Source organism: Homo sapiens, chromosome 1 (genome assembly GCF_000001405.40).
Source record: "Homo sapiens chromosome 1, GRCh38.p14 Primary Assembly".
NCBI lineage: Eukaryota > Metazoa > Chordata > Mammalia > Primates > Hominidae > Homo > Homo sapiens.
Window position 1 is genome coordinate 195,481,270 of NC_000001.11, and position 16,956 is coordinate 195,498,225.

The 16,956-nt window shown below is 37.2% G+C and overlaps 1 long non-coding RNA gene across 1 annotated transcript in view; it reads left to right on the plus strand.

The window, feature by feature from the left end:
• Positions 1 to 214: 214 nt before the first annotated feature.
• Positions 215 to 16,956, plus strand: part of LOC107985458 (uncharacterized) — a 32,947-nt gene continuing 16,205 nt past the window's right edge. Inside the window, exon 1 of the long non-coding RNA XR_001737815.2 lies at positions 215 to 309. This is a non-coding gene — a long non-coding RNA (uncharacterized LOC107985458). The remainder of the gene's footprint in view (positions 310 to 16,956) is intronic.

The following is a 16,956-nucleotide window of genomic DNA, read 5'->3' on the forward strand; positions in this document are numbered from 1 at the left end:
TGTTGAAGGACTTTTCCTTAGTTTAGCTAAAGACGGGATCTTTGTCCCACAGCCACAGAAGTTTGGGCTCGCAGACAGTTTGTAGGGTAAGGCAGGGTTTTACTGAGTGTAAAGGGGAAAAAAAGGGGAAACAGGGATCTTTTGCAAGGCCAGAGTCCCTGCTAGAATGCTTCCTGCCCACAGCTTGAATTCCAGGTTTCACACAGGAAGAGGAGGGGCCAGGCTCTTTCCCACTGCAAAGGGCAAGAACTTCCAGAGGCTCCACCACAGGGTGCATTCCCAGCACACAAGCTGGTTGGAATTTTCCAGGTACTCCCTCCCACCTGTCTGTCCCATTCCCCCCTCTAAAGATGTACATCTAACTGTTAGAATAAGGATAAGGACAAGACCGATCTTAACTGCTTCCTGCTGACAAGGGGTGCTGTTTTGGGGAAATAGCAGTTAGAGCTCCCTCAGAGGCCTATTTAAGGGCTCCCAGCAGAAATGGCCATTGTCAGAGGCTCCGGTTGCATGACCGTTTGGAGTCTGATGGCCTGAAGGCAGGAACAGACAAACCAGGTTATTAGAAAACGTATACCAAAACAAAACAAGGGGGAAGTAGGGACAGCTCAAACATTCTGGGGCCTTCTAGTAGTTTACACAGGAGAGGGAGCCAAAAGCCTGAATGGGAAAGAAACTTTACCCTTTTGCCAGCATGTTGGGCTTCTGGGTTCCCTTCCCCTGAGCCCAATCCTAAGCCAACCAGTTTAAGGTTTGAATAATTAACTCTTTCCAGTTTGGAGGATGCACCTGAGGGGAGTGTCCCATAGTATGGAGACACAATTACCTATCTGTGAAGAGAGAAGTGGGGAGGAGAAAGGAAAAAAGAAGCTATTTTCATTCAGGGGTTCAGGATGCATTTGAAAGGTGTATAGACTGAAGATGAATGGCTACCCATCTAGAAAGAGGCGAGAAGGTGTCCCTGGTTCCCTTCCTACCAGATACCTAAGGTACATGAGGGAGAGATGGAAGAGTGTCCTCTTTCCTCTTCTGTCCTGGCATCCCTGAGTCCCAGCGACCTTGGCAGGTGCCACCTTGGGTGTAAAAGTGGCTTGCACCCATGGCGGGGAGGGGCGTGTTGGCAGTGGGAATCATCTGCTTTTACCCACGTATGACCTATCTCCCCTGCTATCAGTAGCCTTGGATTTCTCTAGACCTCATTTATGCCATGGATATTAACGTGGCCTTTATCCATGAAACATGAAGCTTGGGGTTAGCTTATTCAGCATAAATCAGCCACACTCACCTGCACTGTGCCTTTTAATCTCTGTTGTCATCTGCCTCTGGATCCCTTAGATCCAGTTTTCTTTCCTAGGGCTTTGACCCCAAGTTTGGAATGGAATCTGGGACAAAAATGTGTCGGTGGGGGGATTGCATGGATTCCTTATGATAAGCCAAATGCTAAGGTGCAACTGTAGAACTGAATCCTCCTCCACAAGGGAGAAGAAAGGATGTCTTGTGACACACCCAGATAACTGGTGGCTATAGGTATGCTTGCTAGGATTTGGGTGCTTGGTGCTTGGCTTTAGTTAGTTCCATTGGTTTTACTTTCCCAAAAGGAAACCTCTGAGTGATAGGCATCCTATTTTTTTCCCATCACCTGGCAGGATTTGCAGGATAATTAATCAGTAGAATACTGATCAGGATTTCTTAATTACCCATCCCTGATGTTCTTTCTGAGCTGCAGCTGGAGGTTGCTGGTTGGTTCACAGGAACAAGCAGGGTTAGTCTAAAATGTAGGCTAAAACTTAAAAACAACTAGTGAGTTTAGAATGTAATGATAAATGTATGATAAGTTTTGGAACATAGTTTCTCTCTTTCCAGTCCTCAGATTTGTTTAAAAACAAATCATGGGGCAGGGCGCGGTGGCTCACGCATGTAATCCCAGCACTTTGGGGGCCGAGGTGGGTGGATCACGAGGCCAGGAGATCGAAACTATCCTGGCTAACATGGTGAAACCTCGTCTCTACTAAAAATACAAAAAATTAGCTGGGCGTGGTGGCAGGCGCCTGTAGTCCCAGCTACTCGGGAGGCTGAGGCAGGAGAATCGCTTGAACCTGGGAGGCAGAGCTTGCAGTGAGCCGATATCGTGCCACTGCATTCCAGCCTGGGTGACAGAGCGAGACTCCGTCTCAAACAAACAAACAAACAAACAAACAAAAACAAATCATGATAGGACCAGGTTGTTTGCAAAAATAGACTTTAGTCTTATATTTGGCTTGATTATTTGCATAAAGTGCAGCAAGAATAATTATTTCTACATAGGCCTTTTGGATTGGCTCTGATGGAACTCTGTTTCCCAAGGAATCTCAGATAAGACCTTTTAAAGCCAACCCCAGCCATAGGTTTATCCTAAAATACCTGTGAGTTGGGTGATTCTCTCCTCTTAAGATCTCAAGATAAATTTGGAGCTCCTGGACCTGTTAGAAAGTAACATTCTTTACTAACCATAGGTCAGGAACCCTTTCCAGGCACTCCGTAGGCAAGGTTATAATGCCAGTTTCTCCCATGGTTTTTTTTTTTTTTTTTAATCAGCTCTGCAAGTCGAATTTGACTCCTTAAAGGGAAGCATACATTTCCAGTCAAGGCCTTGGTAAAATAACCACTTTCTGCAATTGGGTCCTGTTGCAAAAGAAAAATGGATTCTTATTGCACTGATGCAAACAACAATATTGCCATAAGAATACTCACAAAGTTTCCAAATTCTAAAGGAACCAGGCAGAGAGAAACAAACATGCTCCAAATTTTGTTCACGGGAGAATAACTTACTCAATTATTAAAGGCTGTAAATAGTTCAAAATAAGTTTTCTTGACTCTGAAAAACAAAACAAGGATCAGCAATATTCCAAGTAAAGGTCAAAAAGATTTTCTTCAGCTTTCTGAGTTCAGTCTATCTAGTTAGCCCTTGTTTTGCTTGGCATTTGTAAACATTTCAGCTCTTTATGAGTCCTGTATATTTTCCTTTATTCCAATGTTACGATCTCTAAAGTTATCAGAAGCCTGTATTGAAGAGCACCAGTTAAAGTTCTATAGTTAATTAAAAACCATTTTTCAAAAGGATTAAAACAAGACAATTGTCTGTGAATAGCAAAATGTCCAGTATAGTTATAGTTAGAAAGATGATTGACATAGAAGTTCAGTTCTCTCCGTGGTTTACAATGTCTTACCATAAAAACCTTAATTGTGATTGATAGCATATACTCAGACATTAGAATTTTAGAAATCCCACACAACTTTGGAGAATATGTTTGCATTATTTACAATAATGTAACATAAAGAAGACTGAGCATCACTGTGACAATCCCATGTGCCTAAACATGTCAAATAATCCTGTTTACCTCTTTTCTGGAAACTGCCAGGGCCCTCTGAAGTACTCCAAAAGCCAGGTGCCAGGGAAGACAATTTTGAAACTGAAGTTTGATTTTCAGAAGGCTGTTAAATGCTCCAGGTTTAAAACACTTGGTATTATTAAATAGAATTCCAGATTACCATAAGTTATTTATTTTGCCAAAATGATTACTCAGAAATCTTAAAGGAGCAAAAAGCTTCATAACCCATTACAAATTTTGCCAAAGAGCAGATTAGCGCCTTAGGAAAACCTTGTTATGCTTTTATTTCAATGCTCAACTTACAGAAAAACCATATAATACCCTTTTTGGAATTTAGCCAATATGTCCACACAGAGAACCTCTTCTGCAAGATTAATTTCCACAATTCTTCCATCACTTCTTTGAACCTTCAGCTTTTTCCTACTTTAATTCAAAATAATCCTTTAACCCTAGGCCAAAGTTTACATTTCCATGACTTATTATAACCTTTTACTAAAAAACATAATTTACTGTTCTTACACACCTGACATGTAAATCAATTTCTAGTAGTTTCAATTAACTCCTAGCAATTTTAAATTTTAAGGTAAAACCTGGTAAGTTGCTGTAATTGTGTGCTACCTGCAGCCAAGGTTTACCTTCTTAGTTAAGGGCATGGTTAGTTCCATATGTCCTCAGGTCTCAAAAGCCACAAAGCAGTTTATAACCTCAAAACACTTAGCAAACCTTGCATCTGACCTGCATTTTACCAATAATCTTTAGGGCTGTTTTTATTTCTCAGGGGAAAAGGAAGCAGGTGAAGGCTTGTGGCTGGGAACCAGCCAGCCGGCTGTGTGGGACCCTTGGGCCATGCGTCCCAGCCCTGGCACAGAGGGGAGGGGCAGCAAGGAGCCCCACTAGCCTGTCTGTCCTGAAAAAGTAAGGAAAGGGTATTTCCCCCGAATCTGGGGGTGACAGGGTTGGGGGGCATGTTTTCTCTACCCTGTGAAATACCAGGATGGAAGGCTTAGAAGCCGCAGTGATAGGTTTTGAGTCTCTATTTCACTCACTGCTTCTCGAGCCCCCACGTTGCATGCCAAAAATGTTACAGGACTCTTCCTCAGTTTAGCTAAAGACAAAGTCCTTGTCCGTCCCATGGTCACAAAATTTTAGGCTCCTAGACTGAAGGGTGAGTAAGACAGGGTTTTATTCGGTGGAAAGGGTAAAAAAGGGGGAAACGGGGCACGGCGTGGTGGCTCACACCTGTAATCCTAGCACTTTAGGAGGCCGAGGCAGGTGGATCACCTGAGTTCAGGTGTGGTAGTGGGCGCCTGTAATCCCAGCTACCTGGGAGGCTGAGGCAGGAGAATCGCTTGAACCTAGGAGGTGGAGGTTGCAGTGAGCCAAGGTAGCGCCATTGCGCTCCAGCCTGGGCAACAAGAGTGAAACTTCATCTCAAAAAGAAAAAAAAAAAGGAGGGAGCGAAACAGGGATCCTCCACAAGGCCAGAGTCCTGGCTAGAATGCTTCCCCGCTGCAGCTGAAATTCCAGGTTTCACATAGGAAGGGGAGGGGCCAGGTTCCTCCCCACTGCAAATGCCACATACTTCTCAAGGCTTCTCCACAGTGCTCATTCCCAGTGCGCAGGCCCGTTGGAGTTTTTCTGTGGAGCCCCCTCCCACCTGGCTGTCTCAGTTGCATATCTCTAACCAAAATGCCAGATGTTCAGTCTAGTTTCTGCTGCTCACCAAACAGAAAAGTAATCTCTGAGACAATGAGTATTGACAAGGAAGAAGGCTTTAATTGGGTGCTATAGTAGAGGAGATGGGAGATCAGTCTCAAATCCATCTCCCTGACCAATTAAAATTATGGTTTTATATAACAGGGAAGAAATGTAACTACATGCAGGAAAACAGGAATTAGGGAGGGGTAAGGAAGAGGAGTTTGTCAACAGGAGGCAGGTGGTTGCTTAGACCCTCATGATGGGTGAGAAATCGTGTCTCATTGTCCAGATGTGGTGATCTAGTAAGTCTCAGTTCCTTGATACTATCTGGGAGTCCTGATGGTTGGCTTCTTGAGAAAGGAATTCAGATAAAACACATGTAATTTTCTCAAGTTTCAAGACTGTGAGGGTCAATTTCTACATTCAATCAAATTAAAACATAAACATCATTTTATGGGACAATTGGGTGAGATTCATATTTATATGCTGAAATACTATACAAAAGAAATAGGATAGAAAAATGTAAACACTACATTATTTTAAAAAACTATTCTAAAACAAAAAAGAACATTGTGAGTTTTTTTAAGGATACACACATAATTAGAAAGTCTATAAATAGTAAGTAAAAATTGAAATATAGCACAGGGAATACTTTTGGGACTAGAAGGGACCTACAGAAGACTTTTAAAATGTACTTCTTTTAAGTTTAAAACCTAACAAGCATATATATGCATGTTCATTATATTGTTATTCCTTAAATTGTCCAGATATTGTGCACTCTCCTTAGTATGCATGCTGTATTTCATAAAAAAAAACAAGAGCATAAAAATACCCTCAAAAACCCCTGTCTTTTAAAGGAAATACGAATGAGTTGGCAAGAAGAATACTTGACATCAAGACATCAGATGACATCACTTTTATCCTGGTACATCCCAGGTGAAAAACAGTCAAGAAGTAATATCATTGTCAGAAAATATGCCCAGTTGTTTATAAATCATCATAGAGGCTATTTGAAAGTGGAATTTTCATATGTAGTTAATGATTACTTTGGCTCTACGTGTTATAAGCCAGGATTATAGCCTATATAATCACATATAGACTGTGAAAAGATATACAAGTTTGCATAATTAAATAAATTTGAATACATGTTTACAAACAAGTGTATTCATTAAAATATTTTTAAGGAAAAGAGTGTATCTAATTTAATCTAAATTTTGATGTTGAGTGTGGAGAACAGGGAGAACTAGAGGCAAAGAGACAAGTTGGGAAGCTATTTTGGCAGTCCCAACAATGAAGAGTTATTTATTAGAGTAATAACTGTGAAAATATTGTTCGTATGTATGTTAATATGTTATAGGATAAAAGAAAACAATTTGCATTCAAATTTGCAGGTCTGTATATATCCAACTGGGCACAGCTATGCTGGAAAAAAAACAACAAAATTATATATTTGAACCTCAGCATAGAATCACAATATATGATACAATAAAAAACAGAGACTGATTTATTTAGCATTCTGTAATGAGTGATAGTATCATTCTTGGTGTGATATGCTTTTTTAAATTGCAAGAAGCTTTCAGTAAAGATTCAAATCAAACAGCGTGCAAATGTCTTTTATTGCAAATAATCATTGAATTCCTGAAAAACTCAGTGTATATCAAAGCTCTACAAAAACGTGTTGTTTTTATAGGTTAAATAAAATTAGGATCTAGTATGAAAAACTTATAAACAATATTTTACCATTTTGGTATATATACACACGTATGTGTGTACATATTCATATACATATATTAATGAATGATTCTTTGGAGCACATGGAAATCAGAACATATAGCCCTTGCCAACTCAATGCCAATAATCATCCTCATTATTTGTGGATCCCTACTGTTAAACACAAAGTCTCTCTAAGCTTTTCAACATGGTTCAGGTGATGTCACCATCGTTGTGGAGAACCACCATCCTAGTGGTTAAATAAAATCTAGGTGATTTAGGATTTTTGATGAATATAATATGGTGACTAGTGATCCAGGTAGACTGGAAAACAAAAAGGCAAGAAAAGGCTTATGGATAAGCTAAACATTAGATATTTTTCTCAGGCATTTCTTATTTGGGGTTGCTATGGAAATAAAACTAGAGAAGATACTTTAAGATTTGCAAAGCATGTGCAAGTTAGACTCTCTGAGACTAATTTGTACCGGACATTGCTTGATATCCATGGTTTAGTGGCTGGAATGCAGGCAATAATATATCCTGACATTCTTTGAGCCAAATAATGTCTGTCTACTCTATATTACCCTGAGATCTTAAGGTGTCATTGTTCATAGCAGGATGAGTACTGCTAGCAACACCTGGGTTTTCCACCCTCTGGAATCTGGTAAGACTGACCTAATGATTTTGAGGAAATCATATCTATTCCACTTAGCAATTTTAAAAACTAAAAGAAAAATGTCATGATATTACTTTATGTCCTTGAAAGTAAAAATTATTTAAAGAAAATGTAGGCACAAAAAATCAAGACTGAAACATGAAAAAATGGCAGTTATATTTTAGGAATGGCAGAATGGCAAGCTGAAAATAATTGAAGTCTCTGTTGACTTATGCCATACCAGTTTTAGACAGTCAACTTCTGGACTTTTAATGAAGAAATTTAAACCATATTTGATTCATTCATGTTATCTGGCCTTCTATTTCCCCCACTCATAGACAAACTTAACCCTAATTAATATGATTAATATGGAATTCCATAAGTGGACACAGGTTATAATAAATGACTATATTTTACATAATTATTCTGTATTCTACATATTAATCTACACTTACATAAGAATATGTGACATTAAATTAGTAGTTGCAAATCAGCTATCAAGGATTTAAATATTGCAAGCTGAAATAATAATAACCTTATTGCATTACAGAAAAAATATTTGATAAAAACTATAATCAGCACTACCATGGAAAGCAGACGCACATATCTTATCGTAAAGGAAAGTGATAGAAATATGTAGAATGTAGATGCATGTTGGCTTTTACCCTATCTTTACCCTATATTTGCAAAATCCTACAACTGGTCAGTTTGCAAACAGAGATAGAACATGTCTGCTCTGGTGACCTCTATCTACAGGTCACCTTTCTACACTAAGAACTTTGTACACAGTTCTACAATCTGAGTTTTGCTATTTTAAACCAGCCTATATCAGTAATCAAAACAATAATAATCAGTGGCTTGTATTGACATCATTAGCATAATTGTGCTGCAGAATCTTTTTAAGCACTTTCACAAAAATTCTACACCAGATCAGCAGCCAGCATACTAGTAAAGATCAGATTAAGAGTGTTTTTGCTTCAGGTGGTCTCAAAACAGTCATCGGTCAGGTGGTGGTGATGGTGGGCATAACACTGAGCCCAGTAAGTAAAGGACCAGAGTGTTCAGACTTTAACTGTCTACACCATTATTTGCTTATAGGAGCTTGCTTACAGAACTGAGAAACAAATAAGAAACCTATAAATTTGATGAAAAATTTATTGCCACAGAGACTGCAAATTTGACATGAAATTTCCTATAATTTATATATCCTGAAAAATATACACCAGCCCTCAAAAATGTATTAGCAGGACATAGGTTATACGGGTTATGTAACCATCAAGACAGTCATACTTCTCAGTGCCCACCTTAGATACAGCCACGAAGCTTACTGAGCAAGTATAACAGGTAATGAATATGTTAATTAGCTTGATTTAGTCATATCACAATATATACATATATCAAAATATGTTATACACCATAAATGTATGTAATTTTTATTTGCCATTTAAAAATTATTTTTAAAAAGGGAAAGAGAGAGACAGACCCTCCCAAAAGACAGTCATGATTCGGGGAGGATATTGGTGAAAAGATTTCTTTTCAGGAAGCAGAAGTAGACAGCCCAAATGGGCTAAACAAGGAAATTCCTCTGCCATAATCAAAAAGGGCCTTTACTAATTCACTTGAATTGTATTTCATAAGTGCTACAGACCACTAGTTGCTATGTTTTCCAATTACCCTCTTCCAAACAGGTATTTCTAGATGCTGTTATTTTTTTTTCTCTTTGTTTGGAACAAATGACCTGCCCTTTATTTTATAGATTACAAGACCATAAGGACTTAACATTTTATAAGGAAGGAGGTTAAATATTATCCTTATATCATGAACTTGAAGACTTTGGTTCTTCAAAACATGAGCTGAAGACTTTGGGTAGTCTTCCCTGGGGAAATGATGAATGCATTCTATGTGTGTAAAAAGGTGACGGCAGAAATTTGTGGGTATCTAATTAAACTGGCTGTGGCAGAAATTGCTAATTGTTTCACATTATCTGTTCTTTTTTTCTGCATCAAAACACTAGAATCTTATGGCTGTGCCAAATAAGAGTATATTCTTTGACCTTAGCAACAGGGTGTCATCATGTGACAAAAATCTGGCAAATCACACGTGAGCAAAATTGATGGAAATTCTAGGAAGTGTTCTTAAAACAAGAGGAAATGCATTTGTCTTCCCTTTATGCCTTCATGGTGGCTGGAATGTGGCTATGATGTTGGGCACTGCCACACTCATTTGAAGCAAAATAACCATGACAGATTAGTTATTACATAGAAGAAACATAGAAAGTCTTGGTTGTCTACATCTTTGTGGAACTGCTATACCCAGCCATAGAAGAGCAGTCTCTGGACATTAACATGAAATAATATTTTTCAGAGGCGTTGTTCTGCAATTTCCAACCAAATAGTAAATAGCATTTTTTTCATTTCTCATGATGTGTATAGACCCTAAAGAAATTCTTTAAAAAACATCAACAAGAGACAGCTACTCAAATAATTTGACATCTGTTGATATTTATAAACTTCAGCTTTCATTAGCTAGGAATATTTTTTAAGGATATATAAATGAAGTGTGACATGCTCCCTGTGGCTATTATTGAAAAGCAGTTTTGAAAATCTTGCATTTTCATTATGTGGTGCTAAACCACCAAAAATCAGTGAACGTCTCTAACATAATGTGTCATTTGAATTGAAAGAATAGTGTGGGGCTTAACGTGATTTGTGTGTGCATTTATATTTCTCATTTAACAAAATGATGGTGTCCTGGATATTAATTATATATGATACATTCCCAAAACAATCACAATAGAAATATATAACAAAATGATATCATTTTCATTAAAATATTAATCTATTTCAGGGAGTAAATAAATAGTTAAAAGCACAGAACAATCTCTACAGCCTCTCTTGGTTATGCTACTCAACTCTAACACATTTCTTCTTTGCCTGCCTCTTTGTCTTTCTAGTCTTAGATTCTCCCTCTAGCTTCAGTATGAAAATGAATCCATAGATCTATGACTAGCCCAAAAGGAACTGTCAGTAGCACTTATCGTATTAAAAGACACTAAAGTACAACAGAAAGTTTCATAAAAACTCAAATGCTCCAAACTTATTATTTCGATAGCTTGACTTTAAAGAGGATGGGGCCAAAGCAGTATAATGAGCAGCTTTGAAACAAAATATACTATAGAAATCACTCTTTTAGATGGTTTTTATTACCATGAAGTATTTCCCTTCTATGCCAATTTTGCTGACAGTTTTAATCATAAAGTGATGCTGGATTTTGTCAAATGCTTTTTCTGCTTCTATTGAGATGATCGTATGATTTTTAATTTTGTTTATGTGCTGTATCACATTTATTGACTTGCATATATTAAACCATGTCTGCATCCCTGGTATGAAACCCACTTGATCATGGAGTATTATCTTTTTAATACACTGTTGGATTCAGTTAACTAGTATTTTTTGATGATATTTTGCATCTATGTTCATCAAAGATATTGGTCTGTAGTTTTCTTTTTTTTGTTGTTATGTCTTTTCCTGGTTTTGGTATTACAGTGATACTAGATTCATAGAATGATTTAGGGAGGATTCCCTCCTTCTCTATCTTTTGAAATAGTTCAGTAAGATTGGTACTAATTCATCTTTGAATGCCTGGTAGAAGCTGTGAATTTATTTGGTCCCGGGCTTTTTTGGTTGGCATTTTTTTAATTACTATTTCAATCACTACTTGTTATTGGTCTGTTCAGTTTCTATTTCTTCCTGAACTAATTTAGGAGAGTTGAATGTTTCCAGGAATTTGTCCATATCCTCTAGAATTCCTAGTTTATGCACATAAAGGTGTCTGTAGTAGCCTTGAATGATATTTTGTATTTCTGTGGTATTGTTTGTAATATCTCCCATTTCATTTCTAATTGAGCTTATTTGGATCTTCTCTCTTCTTTCCTTGGTTAATCTTACCAATGGTCTATCAATTTTATCATTTCAAATAATCAGCTTTTTGTTTCATTTATCTTTTGTATTGTTTTTTGGTTTGTTTCTTTCAATTTCATTTAGTCCTGCTCTGATCTTTGTTATTTATTTTCTTCTGCCTGGTTTGGGTTTGGTTTCTTCGTGTTTCTCTACTTCCTCAAGGTGTGACCTTAGGTTGTCTATTTGTGCTCTTTCAGATTTTTTGATGTAGGCATTTATGCTATGAACTTTCCTCTTAACACTGCTTTTGTTGTATCCCTGAGGTTTTGCTAAATTGTGTCACTTTTATTATCCAATTCAAAGAATTTTTAAATTTCCATCTTGATTTTATTGTTGACCCAAAGATCACTCAGGAGCATATTATTTAATTTCTATGTATTTGCATAGTTTTGAAGGTTCCTTTTGGAATTAATTTGCAGTTTTGTTCCACTGTGGTCTGAGACAATTCTTAATGTAATTTTGATTGCTTTACATTTATTGAGACTTGTTTTGTGGCCTATGATATTATCTATCTTGGAGGAAGTTTCATGTGCTGTTCAATAGAAGGTGTATTCTGCGATTGTTAGATGGAATGTTCTGTATATATCTTTTAAGTCAATTTGTTTCAAGGTATAATTTAAATCCATTGTTTCTTTGTTGACTTTCTGTTTTAATGACCTGTCTAATGCTGTCAGTGGAGTATTGAGGTCCCCCGCTATTATTGTGCTGCTGTCTATCTCATTTCTTACATCTAGAAGTAATTGTTTTATAAATTTGGGAGCTTCAGTGTTAGGTGAATATATATTTGGAACTGTGATATTTTCCTGTTGGACTAATTTTTTTATCAGCATATAATCTCCCTGTTTGTCTTTTTATTGTTGTTGTTTTGAAGTCTGTTTTGTCTGATATAAGAATAGTTCCTCCTGCTCACTTTTGGTTTTCATTTGCATAGAATATCTTTTTCCACCCCTATAACCTTAAGTTTATGTGAGTCCTTATGTGTTAGGTGAGTTTCTTGAAGAAGCTTGGTTGGTGGATTTTTCTCCATTCTGACATTCTGTATCTTTTAAGTGGAGGATCTAGGCCATTTAAATTCAATATTAGTATTGAGACGTGAGTTACTGTTCTATTATCATGCTAGTTGTTCACTAATACCTTTTTTTTCATTGTGTTATTGTTTTATAGGCCTTGTGATATTTATGCCTTAAGGAGGTTCTGTTTTGGTGTATTTTGTGGTTTTGTTTCAAATTTAGAACTCCTTTTAGTATTTCTTGCAGTGCTGGCTTGGTAGTGGTGAATTTTGTTGGTATTTGTTTGTCTGAAGAAGACTTTACCTCTCCTTCATTTACGAAGCTTAGTTTTGCTGGATACAAAACACTTGGCTGACAATTATTTTGTTTAAGGAGCCTAATGATACAACCCTAATCTGTTCTGGCTTGTAAGATTTCTGCTGAAAAGTTAGCTGTTAATCTGATAGGTCTTCCTTTATAGGTTACCTGTTGTTTTTGTCTCACAGCTCTTAGTCTTTCCTTCATCTTCACTTTAGATAATCTGATGATAACGTGCTTAGGTGATTATCTTTTTGTGATGAATTTACCAGGTGTTCTTTGAACTTCCTGTATTTGGATGTCTATATCTCTAGCAAGGCCAGGGAAGCTTTCCTCAATTATTCCCTCGAATAAGTTTCCAAACTTGGATTTATCTTCTTCCTCAGGAACACCAATTATTCTTAGGTTTGGCTGTTTAACATAATCCCAAATTTCTTGGAGGCTTTGTTTATTTTTACTTTTTTTCTTTGTCTTTTTCTGATTGGGTTAATTCAAAAGCCTTTTCTTCAAGCTCCGAAGTTATTTGTTTTATTTGTTCTAGTCTATTGTTAAAATTTTTCAGTGCATTTTGTATTTCTCTAAGTGTGTCTTCCATTTCCAGAAGTTATGATTTGTTTTCCTTTATGATACCTATTTCACTGGAGAATTTTCTATTCATATCCTGTTATTGTTTTTTTAAATTTCTTTTTTTTTGAATTTTTTTATTATACTTTAAGTTTTAGGGTACATGTGCAAAACATGCAGGTTAGTTACGTATGTATACATGTGCCATGTTGGTGTGCTGAACCTGGTAACTCGTCATTTAGCATTAGGTATATCTCCAAATGCTATCCCTCCCCCTTCCCCCACTCCACAACAGGCCCTGGTGTGTGATGTTCCCCTTCCTGTGTCCATGTGTTCTCATTGTTCAATTCCCACCTATGAGTGAGAACATGTGGTGTTAATTTTTTGTCCTTGCGATAGTTTGCTGAGAATGATGGTTTCCAGCTTCATCCATGTCCCTATAAAGGACATGAACTCATCATTTTTTATGGCTGCATAGTATATTCCATGGTGTATATGTGCCACATTTTCTTAATCCAGTCTATCATTGTTGGACATTTGGCTTGGTTCCCAGTCTTTGGTATTGTGAATAGTGCTGCAATAAACATACGTGCACATGTGTCTTCATAGCAGCATGATTTATAATCCTTTGGGTATATACCCAGTAATGGGATTGCTGGGTCAAATGGTATTTCTAGTTCTAGATCCCTGAGGAATCGCCACACTGACTTCCACAATGGTTGAACTAGTTTACAGTCCCACCAACAGTGTAAAAGTGTTCCTATTTCTCCACATCCTCTCCAGCATCTGTTGTTTCCTGACTTTTTAATGATGGCCATTCTAACTGGTGCGAGATGGTATCTCATTGTGGTTCTGATTTGCATTTCTCTGATGGCCAGTGATGATGAGCATTTTTTCATGGGTCTTTTGGATGCATAAATGTCTTCTTTTGAGAAGTGTCTGTTCATATCCTTCGCCCTTGGCTTTCATCTTTCTCTGTATGTCAATTAGTAGCTTAATAATCAACCTTATGAATTATTTATCTGGCAATTCAGAGATTTATTCTTGGTTTGGATCCATTGCTGGGGAGCCAGTGTGATTATGGGAGTGTTATAAGACCACGTTTTGCTATATTACCAGATTTACTTTTCTGGTTCCTTCTTATTTGGGTAGACTTTTTCCATGGAAATATTTGGAACTCAGAGTATGCTGTTCAGACTATTTTGCCCCACAAGGTAATCCCTTGATGTGGTGCTCTCCCTCTTCCCCTAGGGATGGGGCTTCCTGACAGCCATACTGCAGTGACTGTTATTGGGTGTCTGACCACCCAGCAAGGCTACTAGGTTCTGGGCTGGTGCTAGGGAATTTCTGCAAAGAGTCCCGTGATGTGATGTGTTTTCAGGTCTCTCAGCCATAGAAACCAGCACCTGCTCTGGTGGAGGTGGCAGGAGAGTGAAGTAGCTTGTGAGAATCCTTGGTTGTAGATATGTTTGGTGTGCTGGCTTTCTCGAATGCTGGTTATGCTAGCAGTGAAGTTGTCACATGGACAGACTCAGGATCTTTGGTTAGCCAGGATGTTGCTGGCAGTGATATTAGCTGTGTTTTCTTCTTCCTAGAAGCAGGTTTTTTCTGTCATGAGTTGCTGTAAGGTCTGAGTTCGTTGGCCTCAAGCCAGGAGGTGGCGCTTTCAAGAGTGTACCAGCTGCAGTAGTAGTAGGGGGATATAAGCTTGCCCTGTGTTGGCCAGGGTAGGTGTTCTGGTTTCTCAGGCAATGGGTGGAGCCATAAAGCCCCCAAGACTTTATGACTTTTGTGTTTGGCTACCAGGATGGGTGGAAAAATACCATCAGGTGGGGGCAGGGATATATGGGTCTCAGCTCAGAATCTTCTTGGGTGGGGCTTGCTGTGGTCACTGTGGTGGATGGAGGGGTGGTTCTCAGGCCAATGAGGTTATGTTTCAGTGGTGATTATGGCTGCGTCTGCTGTGCCATACAGTTCACCAGGGAAGTGGGGGATATCCCATAGTGAAAGGCCTCACCCAGCTCCAAAAACCACCTGTTCACCACAAGTTATTGGAATAAAATACAAAGAAAGAAAATCACTCTTTTATTCATCTAGAAAATTCTTACTGATGGTTTTAAAATTTCTTCTGTTTCCCAAGTAAAATTATTTCTGAAATTTCCAGTAAGTGTTTTCACAACTCCAGGCCTTTAAAATCATAAAGATGATGTAGACTGGGACAAGAAAAATATAAGCATAATATAGTTTGTTCTTATTTCATATATATGTACATATGCTGACTGGATACATATATATATAGTTCATAACATAAATCTTTCTGTGGGAAGTTTTAAATAGCGTAAATGAATGTGAATGTGTGTATTTTGAGATCCCACGTGGTATAACTGAGAAAGGTTAGAATTCTGGGGAGCGGAACTATACATTATGAAAACTTAATTTTTAATTCAGACTTGCTTAATGCTAAAATTGAAACCTGGAATCAAACAATTTTAAGTAACAGTTTCCTTGAGAGAATGAGAATCTTAACATTTTAAGCACAAGTAATTTAACACATATAAATAAAGGTAAAAGCTGGAAAATAAGTCATCTTAAATTTAAAATATAAATATTAGCCAAAAAGGATTGAAAATATTTGCTTACATTATTATTGACTATAGGTACAATGTCATACAGCAGATCTCTAGAGCTTATTTATCTTGCTTGACTGAGACTTTATGCCTACTGATTAGTAACTCCTACTTTCCTCTCCTGTCAGTCCATGGCAAACACAATTCCACAATTTCATACCATGAATTTGACTATTTTAGATACCTCATGTAAATGAAATCATGTAGTATTTATTTTCCTGTGGCTGGCTTATTGCACTTAGCTCCCCCTCCTCAAGGTTCATCCGTACTGCAGAGTATTGTAGATTTGCCTTCTTTTTTTAAAGCCTGATATCAGCTCACACATGTTCTGATAGCTTCTATCAAAAAAGAGTGAGAGAGAGAAGTGTTGCTGAAAATGTTGAAGAAATTGGAACCCTTTGCATACTGTGTGAATGCTAAGTAGTACAGTAACTATGGAAAACAGTACAGAAGCTCTTCAAAATAATAAATATATAACGTTTTTACAATCCAGAAATCCCACTTTGGGGTACTTATCTAAAAGAATCAAAATCAGTATTTTGAAGAGATGTTATCAATCCTATGTTGATTGAAGCACTGGGCATAATAGCCAAGATGTGGAAACAAATGTCCATCAATAGATAGACACAGAAAATGTAGTGTGTGTGTGTATATATATATATATATATATATATATATATATATATATATATATATACACACACATACATATATATACATACATATATATATACACATATATATGGAATTTGCCATTGTCTTAAATAAAAGCAGGCTCCATGAATTAAAATAGAGATGTTTTTAATGGAAAACTGTATAATCGTGTAATCCATAATAGAAGTTTACATGTAATGATAGTTAATATTTCCCTTTACTGTTTTCACTTTTCACAAAAATTAAAAATAATTGGTGTTTATCTTTATTTATCTATGAAACTGACTTTATAAACAAATTTTTTATTTAACAATGATAAAATGTATTCAGTTTTGTCTTTAGAGGTACCATGTCCACGGAATATCAATAGAACTGTTTACAATTTCTCTCTCCAATTAAATCAAAGTAGACAGC